A 14,977-nucleotide genomic window follows, 5' to 3' on the forward strand; every position below is an offset into this window, starting at 1 on the left:
TAGTTTATTTATTTTACTCTCATCTTCTGTACCCACATCTCTGGAAGAGCTGTGTTCATAGGTGTGGAGACAAGTAAAGAGCTTTCTGACGAGTCAGAAGCTGGTCATGGGAAGGAAATGAGGGCATCTCCTAGGTAAAGGAATTTTTATTTTCTCACTGGATTTCTTCTCACTTTAAACTGGTTCTTTTGTGTTCTTACTTGGCTGGGAATGTCTGGAAGTCAGCACTCCAGCTGCTGAACTCCAGAACTCAGAAAAGATGCACATAAATAGACTTTGGTTGCAGCATGAAATATTGGGTTAGACATCAAGAGGGACTTTCTAGTCAATGAGATTGTGTAGGCAGAGGAAGAAATGGAGGAAAATCATAAAACTTTCTACTCTGTGGGAAAGGTAGTTTTCTGGGAGGCACTCCAGCGCCTTTGGGTGAGACCTTGTGCCACGTTCCCGGAGGCCTGGGTGGCAGCAATGAAAGGAGGAAGTGAATGCAGCCCTGATGGCAGGCTACTGAGGACAACGCAGCACTGCTCTCCCATTTTACAGCTGCAGAAACCGAGGCAAGATCCTGCAACAAATATTTACAGAAGGTGTCTGCATGCCAGCCTTATTCTGAGTTCTGAGGACACCGCAGTGAGGGAGGCAGAGTACTAGCAAACAAGGTCATGAATATGGAATGTGATATTGTGCAATGATGGGGCTGGACAAGGAAGTGAGCGGTAGGGAGGGATGGAAGCTGCTGTTGAAAGAATGGTCAGGGAAGGCCTCTTTGGGGCAGGGTCATGTGAGATGAAATGACTCACCCAGGGTCATTTAGACCCCAGATACAATTGAGTCTGCTTCCCTGGCTCCTAGTCAGGGGTTCCTCCAGGGTGTTTTTGGGCCTAAGTAACAGAAAACCCAACTCAAAAAGGCTTACGCCAAGAAAAAAAAGTTTGTCTAAAAAAATCCAAGGGTAGAACTTGTTTCAGGAATGTCTTGATCCAGGATCTCAAATCACATTGCCAAGCCCTGCCCTCTCTTATGTCTCTGCCTCTTCCACAAGGGTTCTAACTCCCAGGCTCCCTGTGGGAGCAGGAAGGTGACAGTGTTTCCAGGCCCACGGCTCCCAGGTTCAAGCTGGCAAGAAAGAGCTGCTCCATCCTCATCCATTTGAACAAAAATGCTGGGCCTGACTCCCTCAGCCAGGTTTGGGTAACAGACCCGCTTTCTGAACCAATGGGAATAGCTAGGGGGATTTTCTGCATGGACTGGGCAGGCTGTGTCCCAGGCCCATCCTGGAGCCCTGGGCTGTGGGAAGGGAGGGAGCATCCCCAGGTGAAGTTTTGACCCTTGTTAGCAAAGGAGGAAGGATGATTCAGGCCGGCCCCAACCTAGCCATGAAAGTGCTGCCTGGCCCCCTCTCTGTACTGTGTCCACATCCATCATTTCCCCCAGGCTTTATTGAGCACCTGCTGTGTGCGTCCATCTCTGTTTCCCAGAGCTTAGACTTCAAGGTATAGGAATTGTTTTGTTTTCATTTTTTTTTATAATCCTCCAAGATCTTCCAGTCTACTTGAAGAAACAAAAGCCACATCCTGTTTTTTATCCTGTCTTTTTGTGGCTTGCTCATGGCATGAATTTTCTAGCTGTCAACAAAGGGAGGGGCGCTTTTGGGCTGGAGGAGTCAAGAGGCCTTCAGGAAAAAGGAGGGCTTTTGATACATTTTCTTTCTTTCCTTCCTTTCTTTCCTTCCTTCCTTTCTTTCTTTTCTTTCTTCTTTCTTCTTTCTTTCTTTTTTTTTTTTTTGAGACAGAGTCTTTCACTGTTACCTGGGCTGGAATGCAGTGGCCTGATCTCAGCTCACTGCAAACTTTGCCTTCTGGGTTCAAGTGATTCTCCTGCATCAGCCTCCCCAGTAGCTGGGATTACAGGTGTCTGCCACCACATCCAGCTAATTTTTTGTATTTTTAGTAGAGATGGGGTTTCACCATGTTGGCCAGGCTGGTCTCGAACTCCTGACCTCGTGATTTGCCCGCCTTGGCCTCCCAAAGTGTTGGGATTACAGGCGTGAGCCGCCACGCCTGGCCCAGTGCATTTTCAAGGGTGGCTTATATCAGGAGAAGGTTGACAGAGGCTAGAACTTGATAGTGCATGCAGGCTATGGTGAGCGGGACACACACCGTGTGATTATGACTTTTTGGGATGTGTGGTTAAAATGTGTGTAGTTCTTGAACCACTGAGGTTTATAAGATTATAAGGCAGGACACAGGCACATGTTTATCTTAGTAGTCAGGTATTTATTCCAAGTTTATGTTAGAAGCAACTATGTTATTAACTTATCAGACCTGGATAACATTGTTCAGGATGAAACTAAAATTAACAAAAAATAAAAGTGGCAGGGAGTCCATTTAAACAAATATCATACATATAGGTGGTAGCAGACATGGCAAAAATGTTGTTATGAGAATGAGTAAGGCTGGGCGCAGTTGCTCACGGCTGTAATCTCAGCACTTTGGGAGGTCAAGACGGGCGGATTGCTTAAGGTCAGGAGTTCGAGACCAGCCTGGCCAACATGGTGAAACCCCATCTCTACTAAAAATACAAACATTAGCCAGGCATGGTGGCGCATGCCTGTAATCTCAGCTACTCGGGAGGTTGAGGCAGGAGAATCACTTGAACCCAGGAGGCGGAGGTTGCAGTGAACAGCGGTCCCGACCCTGCACTCCAGCCTTGGTGACAGAGCAAGACTCCATCTCAAAAAAAAAAAAAAAAAAAAGTAAGTTTTGGGAAATGCTGGTCTAGCCCTCAGATTCTGGAAGCAGAAAGACATGGATTCAAATCTCAGACCCACCCCACATGTACAGTGAAGCTTTGGGCCAGCTGCTTCACCTTTCTAGCCCTCAGTTTTCTGACCAGTAAAATGGGGCTGAGAATGGGATAGGAGCAGTCTCACGGGAGATGTTCAGGAATCTCTGAGATGTGGTTATGTGAAATGCCTCTTCTCCAAGGGGACATTCAGTAAGTTAACTCTCCATAATCTGGATTATTTTTCCCAGGAAAGAAAGAAAAAAAAAAAAGGCCGTCCAGCTACATGTGCAGGAAGTGCAAGGGCCAGAGGTGGGAAGGAATGTGGCAGGTTAGGGAGACTGCTGCAGTGGGGTGGGGTGGTCCCTGCAGGAGAGAGCAGGGATGGTGTTGTGTCAGGGAGGAGAGGATTTGCAATTTTACAGGAAACCTATGGAGTAAATAAGCCTCCTCTGGGACTACATGTGGTACCTTGGAGGACGGGCTTACCTGTTTCACCCAAATCTCTTTTTGCTCCCAGCAGACCTCTGAGCGCCACTGTCCACCGCAGCCTGGGGCTGGGCTCATCTCTCCCCCATCCAGAGCTTTCTGTGCAGACAGATTCTGGTGAACCTGGGTTGGGCTCCATAGATTTAATCTATGTTGTTTATCTTTTAAACACCATTAACCACAAATTAGCTGATTCTTTTGTGGCTATAAATTAATAGATTCCATTAGTGAACAGCAAATTACAGGATGATTACTTTTCCTCCCTGAACTTGGAGCTTTTTTTTATAGCTTTTTGAGAGGGTTTGGTTCTGTCCTCTTCCTGCTGCCGCTTTCCTATCTAGGTTCTTTGTTCATTGGACCAAATCTTCTGAATGGCCCGGGAGGCTGAGAGTGGGTGACATGGACTATCTTTGTAATGAGGTTATAAGCCTGTTCGCTTTGCAGAAGCAAAACTGACTGGAGGTTTGTTTTCAAGAGAATTTTTGTTTCAATCACAGACCAAACCAGCAAAGTTGCCACCTCCTTTTACTCCTGCGTATAACATAAACACATCGTATTTGCTTTTTCTTCCATAGCTTTGTTACTTCTGAGGCCTCATTCTGGTAAATACTGGATAATCTTTTCTTTCTATCCATCTGTCTATCCATCCATCGATTCCCTTATCCATCCATCCTCCTCTATCCATCTGTCCACCCATCCATTCATCTACCCTTCCTCCCTCCCTCCCTTCTTTCCTTCCTTCCTTCCTTCCACCTGTTCCTGTTCCTTCATCCTCCCATTAAGACACAGCTGCCCCTACAAAGCTCAGCTGAGGGTCTGGCTGGAGCTGCCAGGAGGGGCACTGATCCCACTACATCCATCTGCCACGTCCTAAAGCATTCGGGTAGTGACATCGGGCTAATTTTTGGAACCCGTAGCTGCACACCTGTTATAGGATGGCAACCAATGTGCTCTCAGGTGCTAGGCAGGTAACTTAAACAACTAGGTAGGTAGGCAAAAATAAGTCTCAGGGCTTCAGTGAACTGTGGGGTTCAAACCACTCCTAAGACTTTCTAATTCAAATAAAAAATAATTTTTTTTTTTGTTTTTGAGAAAGGGTCTCACTTTGTTGCCCAGGCAGGAGTGCAGTGGCATGATCATGGTTCACAGCAGCCTTTGTCACCTGGGCTCAAGTGATTCTCTCACCTCAGCCTCTTGAGTAGCTGGGACCACAGGTATGAACCACCAAGCTCAGCTAATTTTTGTATTTTTTGTAGAGACGGTTTCACCATGTTGCCCAGGCTGGTCTCAAACTCCTGAGCTCAAGCAATCTGCCCATCTCAGCCTCCCAAAGTGCTGGGATTACAGTTGTGAGCCACTGCTTTCAGCCAAAATGCAGTATCTTTAGAGTTTGGGGTTGGGTTTGTGACTTTTGACATATCAATCAGAATTCTTTAGTTGCAAGCAACAGAAATGGACTCTTCTAGGCTGAATAATGCCTCCCCCACCCCCACCAAAGATGTCTATGATCTCATTCCTAGAACCTGTGAATCTTACCTTACAAAGGGACTTTGCCGATATGGTCAAGTTAAGGATTTTGAGATGAGGAGATTATCCTGGATTATTAAGGTGGGCCCACGGAATCGCAAGGGTCCTTGCGAAGGGGAGGCAGGAGGGTCAGTCCAGAGTAGGAGATGTGCTGGAGGCAAGGAAGGAGCCAGGAGCCAGGGAAAGCAGGCGGCCTTTGGAAGCCGGGAGAGGCAAGGAAACAGATTCTCTCCACTGTTTTCAGCAAGAACGCAGCCCTACTGATGTTTGACTTGAGTCTAGTGAGGTTGATTTTGTCCTTCAGACCTCCAGAACTGTAGGAGAATACATTTGTGTTGTTTTGAGCCACAGAGTTAGTAGTAATTTGTTCCCACACCAATAGGAAACCAATACACTAGCAAAAAAGGAATTTTTTTTTTTTTTTAAGACAGAGTCTCACTCTGTTGCTGAGGCTGGAGTGCAGTGGCATGATCTTGGCTCACTGCTACTTCTGCCTCCCAGGTTCAAGCGATTCTCCTGCTTTGGTCTCCTGAGTAGCTGGGACTACAGGTGTATGCCACCACGCCCAGCTAATTTTTGTATTTTTAGTAGAGACGAGGTTTCACCATGTTGGCCAGGATGGTCTCAAACTCCTGACCTTAAACTCCTGATCTGCCTACCTCAGCCTCCCAAAGTGCTGGGATTACAGGCATGAGCCACCGTGCCTGGCTGAAAAAAGAAATTTATTAAGAGAACTTGTAGTAGCCTCTAACTCCAACTAAAAACAGAAACTCCAAAAGGGAGTTCCAGAGGGAGCTGTGGCTCTAGAGAGCAGGCACAAAGAACAGTCCCGCAGGGCACCTCCGCTGGGATGAAAATCAGCATTTCCCATCCGTTCTGAGGCTGCTCAAAATTCAAGTTCCAAGGAGAGAGTCTGGCTGAACTTGGGGCCAGTGCCCATGCCTTGGAGAGGGAGGACATCATAACTGAGAGTCTTGGTGGGCTGGAAGTTGCCCAGAGCACAATCAGATGCCATGACTGGAAGAAGGGGTCAGCGCCCGTCCATGGGAAAGAGAGCCGATCACTCATTTTGAGTCTGTTGCCCACCCTTTGTCCAGTCTGCTTTGGCCAGGGTGGGGGCATGGACAACCAGGATGGCAGTTGGGACCCTCCTCTTTAAGGACAAGGGCTGGGCAGACACACTGCTGTGGCCTAGATCATTCCCAGCTATGTTCTACCCTTAGTAAGCCCAGCTGTGGGTGCTTTCTGATTAGAAATCTGAATTCTCAGCCTCGGGGAGGGCGGTCCAGCCCTACTGACCTCAGCTTGTGGTCTGCACCCCATGCTGATTCTTGCTGGGATTAGGGTCACCGTCTCCTAACTGGCCCCGGTTTTGGAACTTTTCTCTCTAGCCTCCCATCTTTCCAACATGTGTCCAGTTTTCTTCCACAATATAAACACATTAATTCTTCCCGGAGTGCTGAGGGGCCATGACCATGATGATCTCAACACTCTGGGCATTTTGGGCCAGATGATTCTCTGCTGGGGTGCGGTGGGAACATCTCTTGTACATTGTAGGATGTTGAGCAGCACCTCCAGCCTCAACCCGCAAGATGCCAGCAGCACCCTCCCCGAGAGTGTGACAACCAAAAATGTCTCCAGATGTTGCCAAATGTCAAGGGCAGTACCGGCCCTGCTTGGGAACCTCTGGTTGGAAGGATCTCTCTATTTCCACCACCTCTCCCACCATCCCAGCATCCCTCCCTCAGCCACGGTTATCATTGGTGTCTCAGTTCCCACCCTTGATTTCTTCCAGTCTATTCCCCAGAACCTGCCAGGGAGATGTTTTCTGGAAAGAAAACCTGATCTCCCGTCACTCCTTTGTCTGAAACTCTTCTAGTCTCCATGGTGCTCTTGGCTAACATCCCACCATTCGCTGTCTCCTATCAGCTCTTCCAATTTCGCCAGCCTCATGGCCCATGCCCCTCCCCGCTCCCCTTTAAGCTTCAACCACACACTGACCTTCTCTGGGTCCCCTACTGGGTTTTTCCACTCCAGGGCCTTTGCACATTCTGTTTCCTCCCTTTTTTTTTTTTTTTTTTTTAAGACAGAATCTTGCTCTGTCACTCAAGCTGGAGTGCAGTGGTGCAATCTCAGCTCACAGCAACCTCCGCCTCCTGGGTTCAAGCCATTCTCCTGCCTCAGCCTCCCCAGTAGTTGGGATTACAGGGGCGCACCATCATGCCCAGCTAATTTTTGTATTTTTAGTAGAGACGGGGTTTCTCCATGTTGGTTAGGCTGGTCTCGAACTCCTGACCTCGTAATCCACCCACCTCAGCCTCCCAAAGTGCTGGGAGTATAGGCGTGAGCCACCGTGCCTGACCATTTTTTTTTTTTTTTTTTTTTTTGAGATGGAGTCTCACTCTGTCACCCAGACTGCAGTACAGTGGTGCGATCTCGGCTCACTGCAGCCTTCACCTCCCAGGTTCAAGTGGTTCTCTGCCTCAACCTCCCAAGTAGCTGGGATTACAGGCACCCGCCACCACGCCCGGCTAATTTTTGTATTTTTAGTAGAGACAGGGTTTTGCCATGTTGGCCAGGCTGGTCTCCAACTCCTGGCCTCAAGTGATCTGCCTGCCTTGGCCTCCCAAAATGCTGGGATTACAGGTGTGAGCCACCATGCCCAGCCTGTTTCCCCTCTTTGGAAAACTCTTCCTGCCACTCTTTCCTTCATTAACTTACTCATCTTTGAGACCTGTTTCACTTAGGAATGCTTTTGGCTAAAATTATAGTGGTTTAAACAAAAACAGACATATTTTTCTCCCATAACAAAAAATCTGGAGGCGGCTGGTTTCTAGTATTGGTTCTGTGACTTGGGGCTGCTATCTCTGCGATTCTCTTTGCTGTTCCCTCAGGGTCACAAGACGGCTGCCTCAGCTCCAGCTATCTCATTCCCATTTAAGGCAGGAAGAAGGACAGTGGAGCCAGCTGACTTCAGCTTGCATCTCATTAGTCACAATTGTTCATGGCAACCCCAGCTGCAGTGGAGGCTGGGAAAGTGTTTAATTCTTGCAGCCTTGATAGAAGGAATGAGTAAAGGAGAATGGGGTTGGGAATGGCTGTCCATTAAGTATTGGTTTAAATGTCACTTCCTCCAGGAAGCCTCTCTTGATTCCCTAAACCAGGTCTGATAATCCTATTACATGCTCTCCTTGTAGATAGTACCTCTCTGTCATACCCTTATCACCACCTATAGTTTTTTTTTTTTCAATTTTTTTTTTTTTTTGAGATGGAGTCTCACTTTGTCGCCCAGGCTGGAGTGCAGTGGCACAATCTCAGCTCACTGCAACCTCCGCCTCCCGGGTTCAAGCGATTCTCGAGTGTCTCAGCCTCCTGAGTAGCTGAGATTACAGGCGTATGCCATCATGCCCAGCTAATTTTTGTATTTTTAGTAGAGACGGGGTTTCATTCTGTTGGCCAGACTGGTCTCTTACTCCTGACCTCAAGTGATCCACCTGCCTTGGCCTCCCAAAGTGCTGGGATTACAGGCGTGAGCCACCATGCCCTGTCTAAAACCTATAGTTTATTAATTTGCTTGTATAATCGATTAATAGGCATCTGTTTCTTCTTGGGGCTGGGAGTTTAGTTCATGAGTTCACTCCTGTTTCTCTAGCCCCTAGCATTGTGCCTGGCACCCAGTAGGGCCTCAGTAACTATTTCTGGTCTATACTAACTGCTGCCAAGTAATTCTTCCCGGAGCACTGAGGGACCATGACCTTGGCTGGCCCAGGACCCCCTCTGACTCCCAGGGGAAGGACAGACAAGAACCTCCTTTAATCAGGTGCCTCCCCAGCAGTGGCCAAGCCTTGCTCTGGCAAGCTTTCTATGCCGCCCAGGTTTCTGGAATGGGTCCATCAGAGTTTCAATTGCACCTCTGTTGGCCACAGCATTGATAAGGAGAGGAAGCTTGTATGCAGATCAGTTCTGAGATACTGCACAGAAAGGAAGCTACTTCTGTTGCGTCACCCTGTGCCCTGGGAGGATTGAGGATCCGCAGGACCCAGGGCTGATCCCCACCCACCTCATCTCTGGCTTCTGCCTGCCAGGTGGGACTTTTAGGTTTTCTTATTTCTTTTTATTAATTGATCCAGTTATTTCACATGTGATTTGTAATTTTCACTTAAAATGGAAAATGTGAGTGACATCAAGCATTGGCTTTCTGCATATTTATTGGGTATCCATTGTGGGCTGGTGGTGGAAATTCAGAGGTGAACAGGAGGTTGCTGCCATCCTTGCCCCCTTAGGAACTGCAGTTCAGCTTGGGAGACAGACAAAGGCATTAATCACAGATATAGATAAATGAAAAATTGCAACTCTCATAAGCCTTGTGAAAGAGAAGAAATGAAATAGATATAATTTTGTATTTGTCCATTATGCCTTAATAAAGCTGGGGGAAAGAAGAGAAGAAATGGTGCCAGAGAGTCTATGAAAGGGATTCTCCTTAGGGAAGTTAGAAGAGGCTTCCCTGAAGCTGCAATGAAATGAGCTCATGCAGGAAGGAAAATAGGGGCCAGACAGGTGAGCAGGCCCAGAAGGTGCGTTTCAGGCCACGGGAAGAGCCAGGGCAAAGGCCCTGGGATGAGGCTTAACATGCCACAGTGGTTTCCTGAGCTGTTACAACAAATTTCCATGAACTTAGTGGCTTAAAACAACAGATATTGATTCTCTCACAGTGCTGGAGGCCAGAAGTCTGAAATCCAGGTGTCAGCAAAGCCATGTTCCTCCTGGAGGCTCTAGGGGAAAGATCCTTCCTTGCCTCTTCCAGCTTCTGATGGTTGTCAGCAACCCTTGGCGTTCCATGGTTTGAAGACGCCTTACTCCAGTCTCTTCCTTTTTCACACGGCCTTCTCCCCTGTGTCCCGGTGCCTCAAACCTCCTTTTTCTTTCTTTCAAAAAGACACAAGTCGGCCAGACGCGGTGGCTCACGCCTGTAATCCCAATACTTTGGGAGGCCGAGGTGGGCAGATGAGGTCAGGAGTTCGAGACCAGCCTGGCCAACATGGTGAAACCCTGTTTCTACTAGAAATATAAAAATTAGCCAGGCCTGGTGGCGGGCACCTGTAATCCCAGCTACTCAGGAGACCGAGGCAGGAGAATCGCTTGAAAGTGGAAGGCGGAGGTTACAGTGAGCCGAGATTGTGCCACTGTACTCCAGCTTGGGTGAGAGAGCGAAATTCTGTCTCAAAAAAAAAAAAAAAAAAAAAAAAAAAAAAAAAAAAAAAGACACAAGTCATTGGATTTAGGGCCCATCCTAAATCCAGGATGATCTTGTATCAAGGTCTTTAACTGAATTACTCCTGCCAAGACCCTTTTTCCAAGTATTGTTTCATTCACAAGTATGGGGGGTTAGGACTTGGACATATGTTTTTGGGGACATTATTCAATTCACTACATGAGTCTGAGAAATTGAAAGCAGACTCACATGGATGGATTGTAAGGAGCCCGGGGTCCTGGCATGGGCTGAGGCAAATCTCACAGGCATGAAGCCATGCTAAGGGGACTGGAGCTGCTAAAGGACTTTATGAAGGAAAGTACCGGAATTTGATTTGTTCTTTATAACAATCTCAAGGGCCACAAAGTATAGAATTTACAGGAGGGGGCAACATGGGTGAGGGCGATCTATTAAGAGGTTGCTGAAGCTATCAGATGAAATGCTGGTGTCTGTGTCTTTGTTTAGGGACTGAAGGGCCAGATGGAGAAAGAAAAACACATGTAAGGGGTATTTTGGAGATGATGGATTTGATCTGGAGTGTGAGGAAGAGAGAGGGGTCAAGGATAACTTCTGCATTTCTTTCTTTGCTGTGAAACTATTTGGGATGTGGACTTTTGGGAGAGGTGCAGATTTTGGGGGAAGATCTTGAGTTCAGTTTTGAATCTGTTGAGTTTGAGGTGTCTGTGGTTGATGGCTTTCACAAATGGTCCCACTTATTCTCTCCCAGTGTTCACACCCCTTTGCAATGTGACTTTGCAGTTCCTCCATTGAATGGAGGAGTCAATTTTCACATCCCTGGGCTGGCCTTGTGACATGTTTGGCCTGCAGGATGTGGAAGACGGGACACCCTGCCAGCTATAAGCCTGTCTCAGGAGTCCTTACAAGCTTCCACTAACTCTTTTAGAGCCCTCCAGGATCTCCAAGTGGACAGGCTCATGCTGACCTGTTGAATGATGAGAGACCACATGGAGCAAGATGAGCCATCCCAGCTGAGCCCATCCTAGGCTACCTGGCTCTAGCTGACCTTGAATGAGATCAGCCAAGATCAAAATAACTATCCAGCTAATTCCAGCCTGAGTTACTAACTTCAGAATCATGAGCAAACTAGCTGGATTTTAGGGATGGTTTATTATGCACCAGTAGCTGATAAAGTCCCTTGAGCCAGCCAAATAGAGATGGGAAAAGGCAATCAAGTAGTTGGACGTACAAGTATAGGGTTCAGATTTGAGATTTAGGTAGGAGAAACAAATGTGTGTATCTCCTGGATAGAAGGAATAAGTTTGTGAAGGAGACAGAAAAGGAGTGGCTGGAGAAGTGGCAGAGAAACTAGGAGAAGCCACAGAAGGAAGAAGTTGTGGACAGTGTCAGCTCCTGCTGAAGGTTTAACTGGATTTTAAAGCAAGGGACAGCATGAGCACAGTGAGTGGAGGCATGGCTGGAGATGGCCCAGAGATCCCTCACCTGTTAGGGTGAAGCCAAAGCCTGACCCTGAAAAGTTCTCGATCGTCTATTTACAATTTGCTTAGTTTTTTGGGAAGAATTGATTTTTGATTGCACAAGTGAGGTGATTGCAAAAACAGCCACAGATTCTTCCCATCCCTGTTTGTGTGCCCTTTGCAATGACTTTGCAGGAACTTTCAAGAGGTATCCACCCCATGTATCTGGCTGGAACACATGACTTGCTTTGGCCAATGGGACAATAACAGCCATGACTTAAGTAGAGGCTTGAAGAGTGTATGCATGAAGCTTCCTTCTGTGTTCTCAGGATCCCTGCTATGGCCCCAGCGTGAAGAAGCCAAGACTAGCCTGCTGGGTAATGAGAGATAGATGGCCCAGTGATTCCTGCTTCCTAGCCAATAGCCAGCAAGCCCCAGAAGCAGAGCCACCTAGGTAAATGGCAGATGACTGCAGACACTTGGAGGAGCCCACCCAAGATCAGCAAAAGAACTGCCCAGTTGAGCCTGGCCCAAAATGCTGACCCTCAGAATCATCAGCTAAATATGCAATTTATATTTTAAGCCACAGTTTCTTATCCATAGAGTGGAAGTAATAATAGTGTTTTCTTACTAGGGTTTTTATATAGATTAATTAGAGTAACTGAGACATGTAAAGTTCTGAAAACAACACCTCGCACAATAAATGTTGATTCTTCTTTTATAATAATAATCACCACCATCTCCTCCTCCTCCTTCCACCATATTTCCAGATATAGAAAAATCCACTTTGTAGTCTTTCTGCTACTGAAGAACATTTAGATTATCTGTGTTTTTGCCATGAACATCCTTGTACTTGCCTCTTTGAGTGTTTCTGCAAGTTTGTCTCCAGGGTAGATACGGAGAAGGAGAAGAACTGGATCATAGAGCATATGTGTCTTGAATTTTAAAAGATATTCTCAAATTTATGCACCTCCCAGCAGCAAGGGGGCTCCCATTTCCTCCACACTCACACCTGTACTTGCTGTCACCAGAAATGCTGCCTCTCTGTTTTACTTTGCCTTGCTCCAACTTCTCGTGAAGTTGGCCGTCTTTTGCATGTTTGTTGTTTGTGGTTCCCTTAAATGGGCTGACTTCCCTTCAGAGCCTCTTCCCTCGGGAAACCCTGCCTCTCACATAGGCCCCAACTTGGGTCATTTATATTCCTCCCTGTTCCAGTGAAGTCTCTGAATTGTAAGGAGCAGAACCCAGATAGGTAGTTCAAGTAAGAAGAGGGTCTGCTGAAAGAAGCTGGCAAAATCTCATGGAACTCAAGGCAGGAAGGATGGGCCCAGTTCTTACAGAAACTGGGCAGTTGTTATTTCTTTTTCTCTGGGACCCTGCGGGCTCTCTCCTCTCTCTCTGCCCCTTCCCCTTCTTCTTCCATCATTAACCTGATCTGTTCAATTGCTGGAGGAAGGAACCTGATTGGATGAGCCCTGTCAGTGGGTTGGCTCCCTTTTGGTCCGGTGCTCATCCTGCCCAGTTGGCTGCAGCTGCTTGGAGCACAGGGCTCCTGCTCCCTCTCCCTCTCCCTCTCCCTCTCCCTTTCTTCTTCCTCCTCTTCCTCCTCCTCCTCCTTCTTCTTCTTTTTCTTTTTCTGATGGAGTCTTGCTCTGTTGCCCAGGCTGCAGTGCAGTGGTTCAATCCCGACTCACTGCAACCTCTGTCTCCTGGGTTTAAGCAATTCTTGTGCCTCAGCCTCCTGAGTAGCTGGGATTACAGACACTGGCCACCCAAAGTGCTGGGATTACAGGCATGAGCCACCACACCTGGCCAAGGCTGCCTTTTCTGGCCATGGGTGAAACACGTAGCTTAGGCACACCCAGGGGACTCTATCCCGGGAGTGGGCCAACACTGTTTCCCAGGCAGCATGAGTCCTGAATTCATTCAACATAAAAAAAAAAATCAAATCAGAAAGAAAAGAAAGAAGACAAATTCTTCCAGCCACATCTAATACAGGAAAAGGAAATATTTGCTTTCCCTACAGATTTTCTGGTCAGTTGCCTATGGTAGATTTTTTTTTTTTAATGGAGTCTCACTGTATTGCCCAGGCTGAGTGCAGTGACGCTATCCCAGCTCACTGCAAGCTCCACCTCCTGGGTTCACGCCATTCTCCTGCCTCAGCCTCCTGAGTAGCTGGGACTACAGGCACCCGCTACCACGCCTCTCTAATTTTTTTTTTGTATTTGTAGTAGAGATGGGGTTTCACCGTGTTAGCTAGGATGGTCTCAAACTCCTGACCTCGTGATCCACCCACCTCAGCCTCCCAAAGTGCTGGGACCACAGGCATGAGCCACTGCACCCGGCCGGATATTTTTTTTTTTTTTAAGATGGGTTCTTACTCTGTCACCCAAGCTGGAGTGCAGTGCCACAATCATGGCTCACTGCAGCCTCAACCTTCCAGGCTCCAGCAGTCCTCCCACCTCAGCCTCCCAAGTAGTTGGGACTACAGGCACATGCCATCACACCTGGCTACTTTTTGTATTTTTGATAGAGTTGGGGTTTCTCCATGTTGGCAAAGCTGGTCTCAAACTCCTGGGCTCAAGCGATCTTCCTGCCTCAGCCTCCCAAGGTGCTGAGATCACAGGTGTGAGCCACCGTGCCTGACGTATGGTGGAATTTTAACAATGCCAAATGCTTAGGGCCGACCTTTTGGTCTAGGAACATGGAAATGTTACGTGTAGCCACCAGGATTAAATGAAGAGAAAGTCGGCTAGTGGGTGTCCTGATAGAGTACCTCATTCCCAGCTCTTACTTGGAATTTTTGGGTTGATTCGCATGGCTGCTTCTCAAAAACTTTCTTCTCACGTGGTGGCCAGGACTTTGTGGGCCTAAGCCCCGTCCAGAGCTGTGGCGATCTCCCGGGCACTCGAATTTCATTTCTCCTTGGCCGTGTTCCTGGTACTTCAATAAAAAAAATCTGAAAAGCACGGGGAGTTTATCTCTTCAGCTACAAATGTCTTTCATTTCTCCGGAAAGAAATGAAAACACACACTGCCATGTAATGATGTTTACCGAAAAAAACAATCTCCCTGTAAAATCAACAGACAAAACCTGTATAAAATGGATCATTCAGCGGCTTCCTTGCAAACTCTACACCTTAATCCCTGCCACCAGCCTGTGCACCTTGAGCTCTTTGGCATTTTGTTTGTTTTACTTTCTTGAAAGCGCATGAGTGGAAAGAGGCATGTCCACAATTGTGTGGGTGAGCAGCGAGGAGACATTCTCCAAATAGCTCATCAGAGCATCCATCAATAGACGTTTTTCTCCTCGGCTCATGGCAGCGAATCAAATATTTAAATGTGATTTTTAGACTTAAAGGCACATGAAGCAATTTGTTTGACGAAGGAGGGAGTGGGTTGGAAAACTCTGCTCTGATGATGGGGAGAATTTTCTGCAGGGCTGAAGCTAACTCACCTGTGACACATGTTGCCTACAAATTGGGGTGCCC

The 14,977-nt window shown here is 47.3% G+C and overlaps 2 annotated features.

Annotated features, from left to right (window-relative positions):
• Positions 565-1,324: an enhancer, noted in NCBI's record as "H3K27ac hESC enhancer chr20:55363417-55364176 (GRCh37/hg19 assembly coordinates)". NCBI's record gives its function as "activates a minimal SCP1, AML or CMV promoter by ChIP-STARR-seq in primed H9 embryonic stem cells {active_cell/tissue: H9 hESC(primed)}" and the evidence as "EXISTENCE:reporter gene assay evidence [ECO:0000049][PMID:30033119]".
• Positions 1,325-2,083: an enhancer, noted in NCBI's record as "H3K27ac hESC enhancer chr20:55364177-55364935 (GRCh37/hg19 assembly coordinates)". NCBI's record gives its function as "activates a minimal SCP1, AML or CMV promoter by ChIP-STARR-seq in primed H9 embryonic stem cells {active_cell/tissue: H9 hESC(primed)}" and the evidence as "EXISTENCE:reporter gene assay evidence [ECO:0000049][PMID:30033119]".

This window comes from Homo sapiens, chromosome 20, assembly GCF_000001405.40.
Source record: "Homo sapiens chromosome 20, GRCh38.p14 Primary Assembly".
Lineage (NCBI taxonomy): Eukaryota > Metazoa > Chordata > Mammalia > Primates > Hominidae > Homo > Homo sapiens.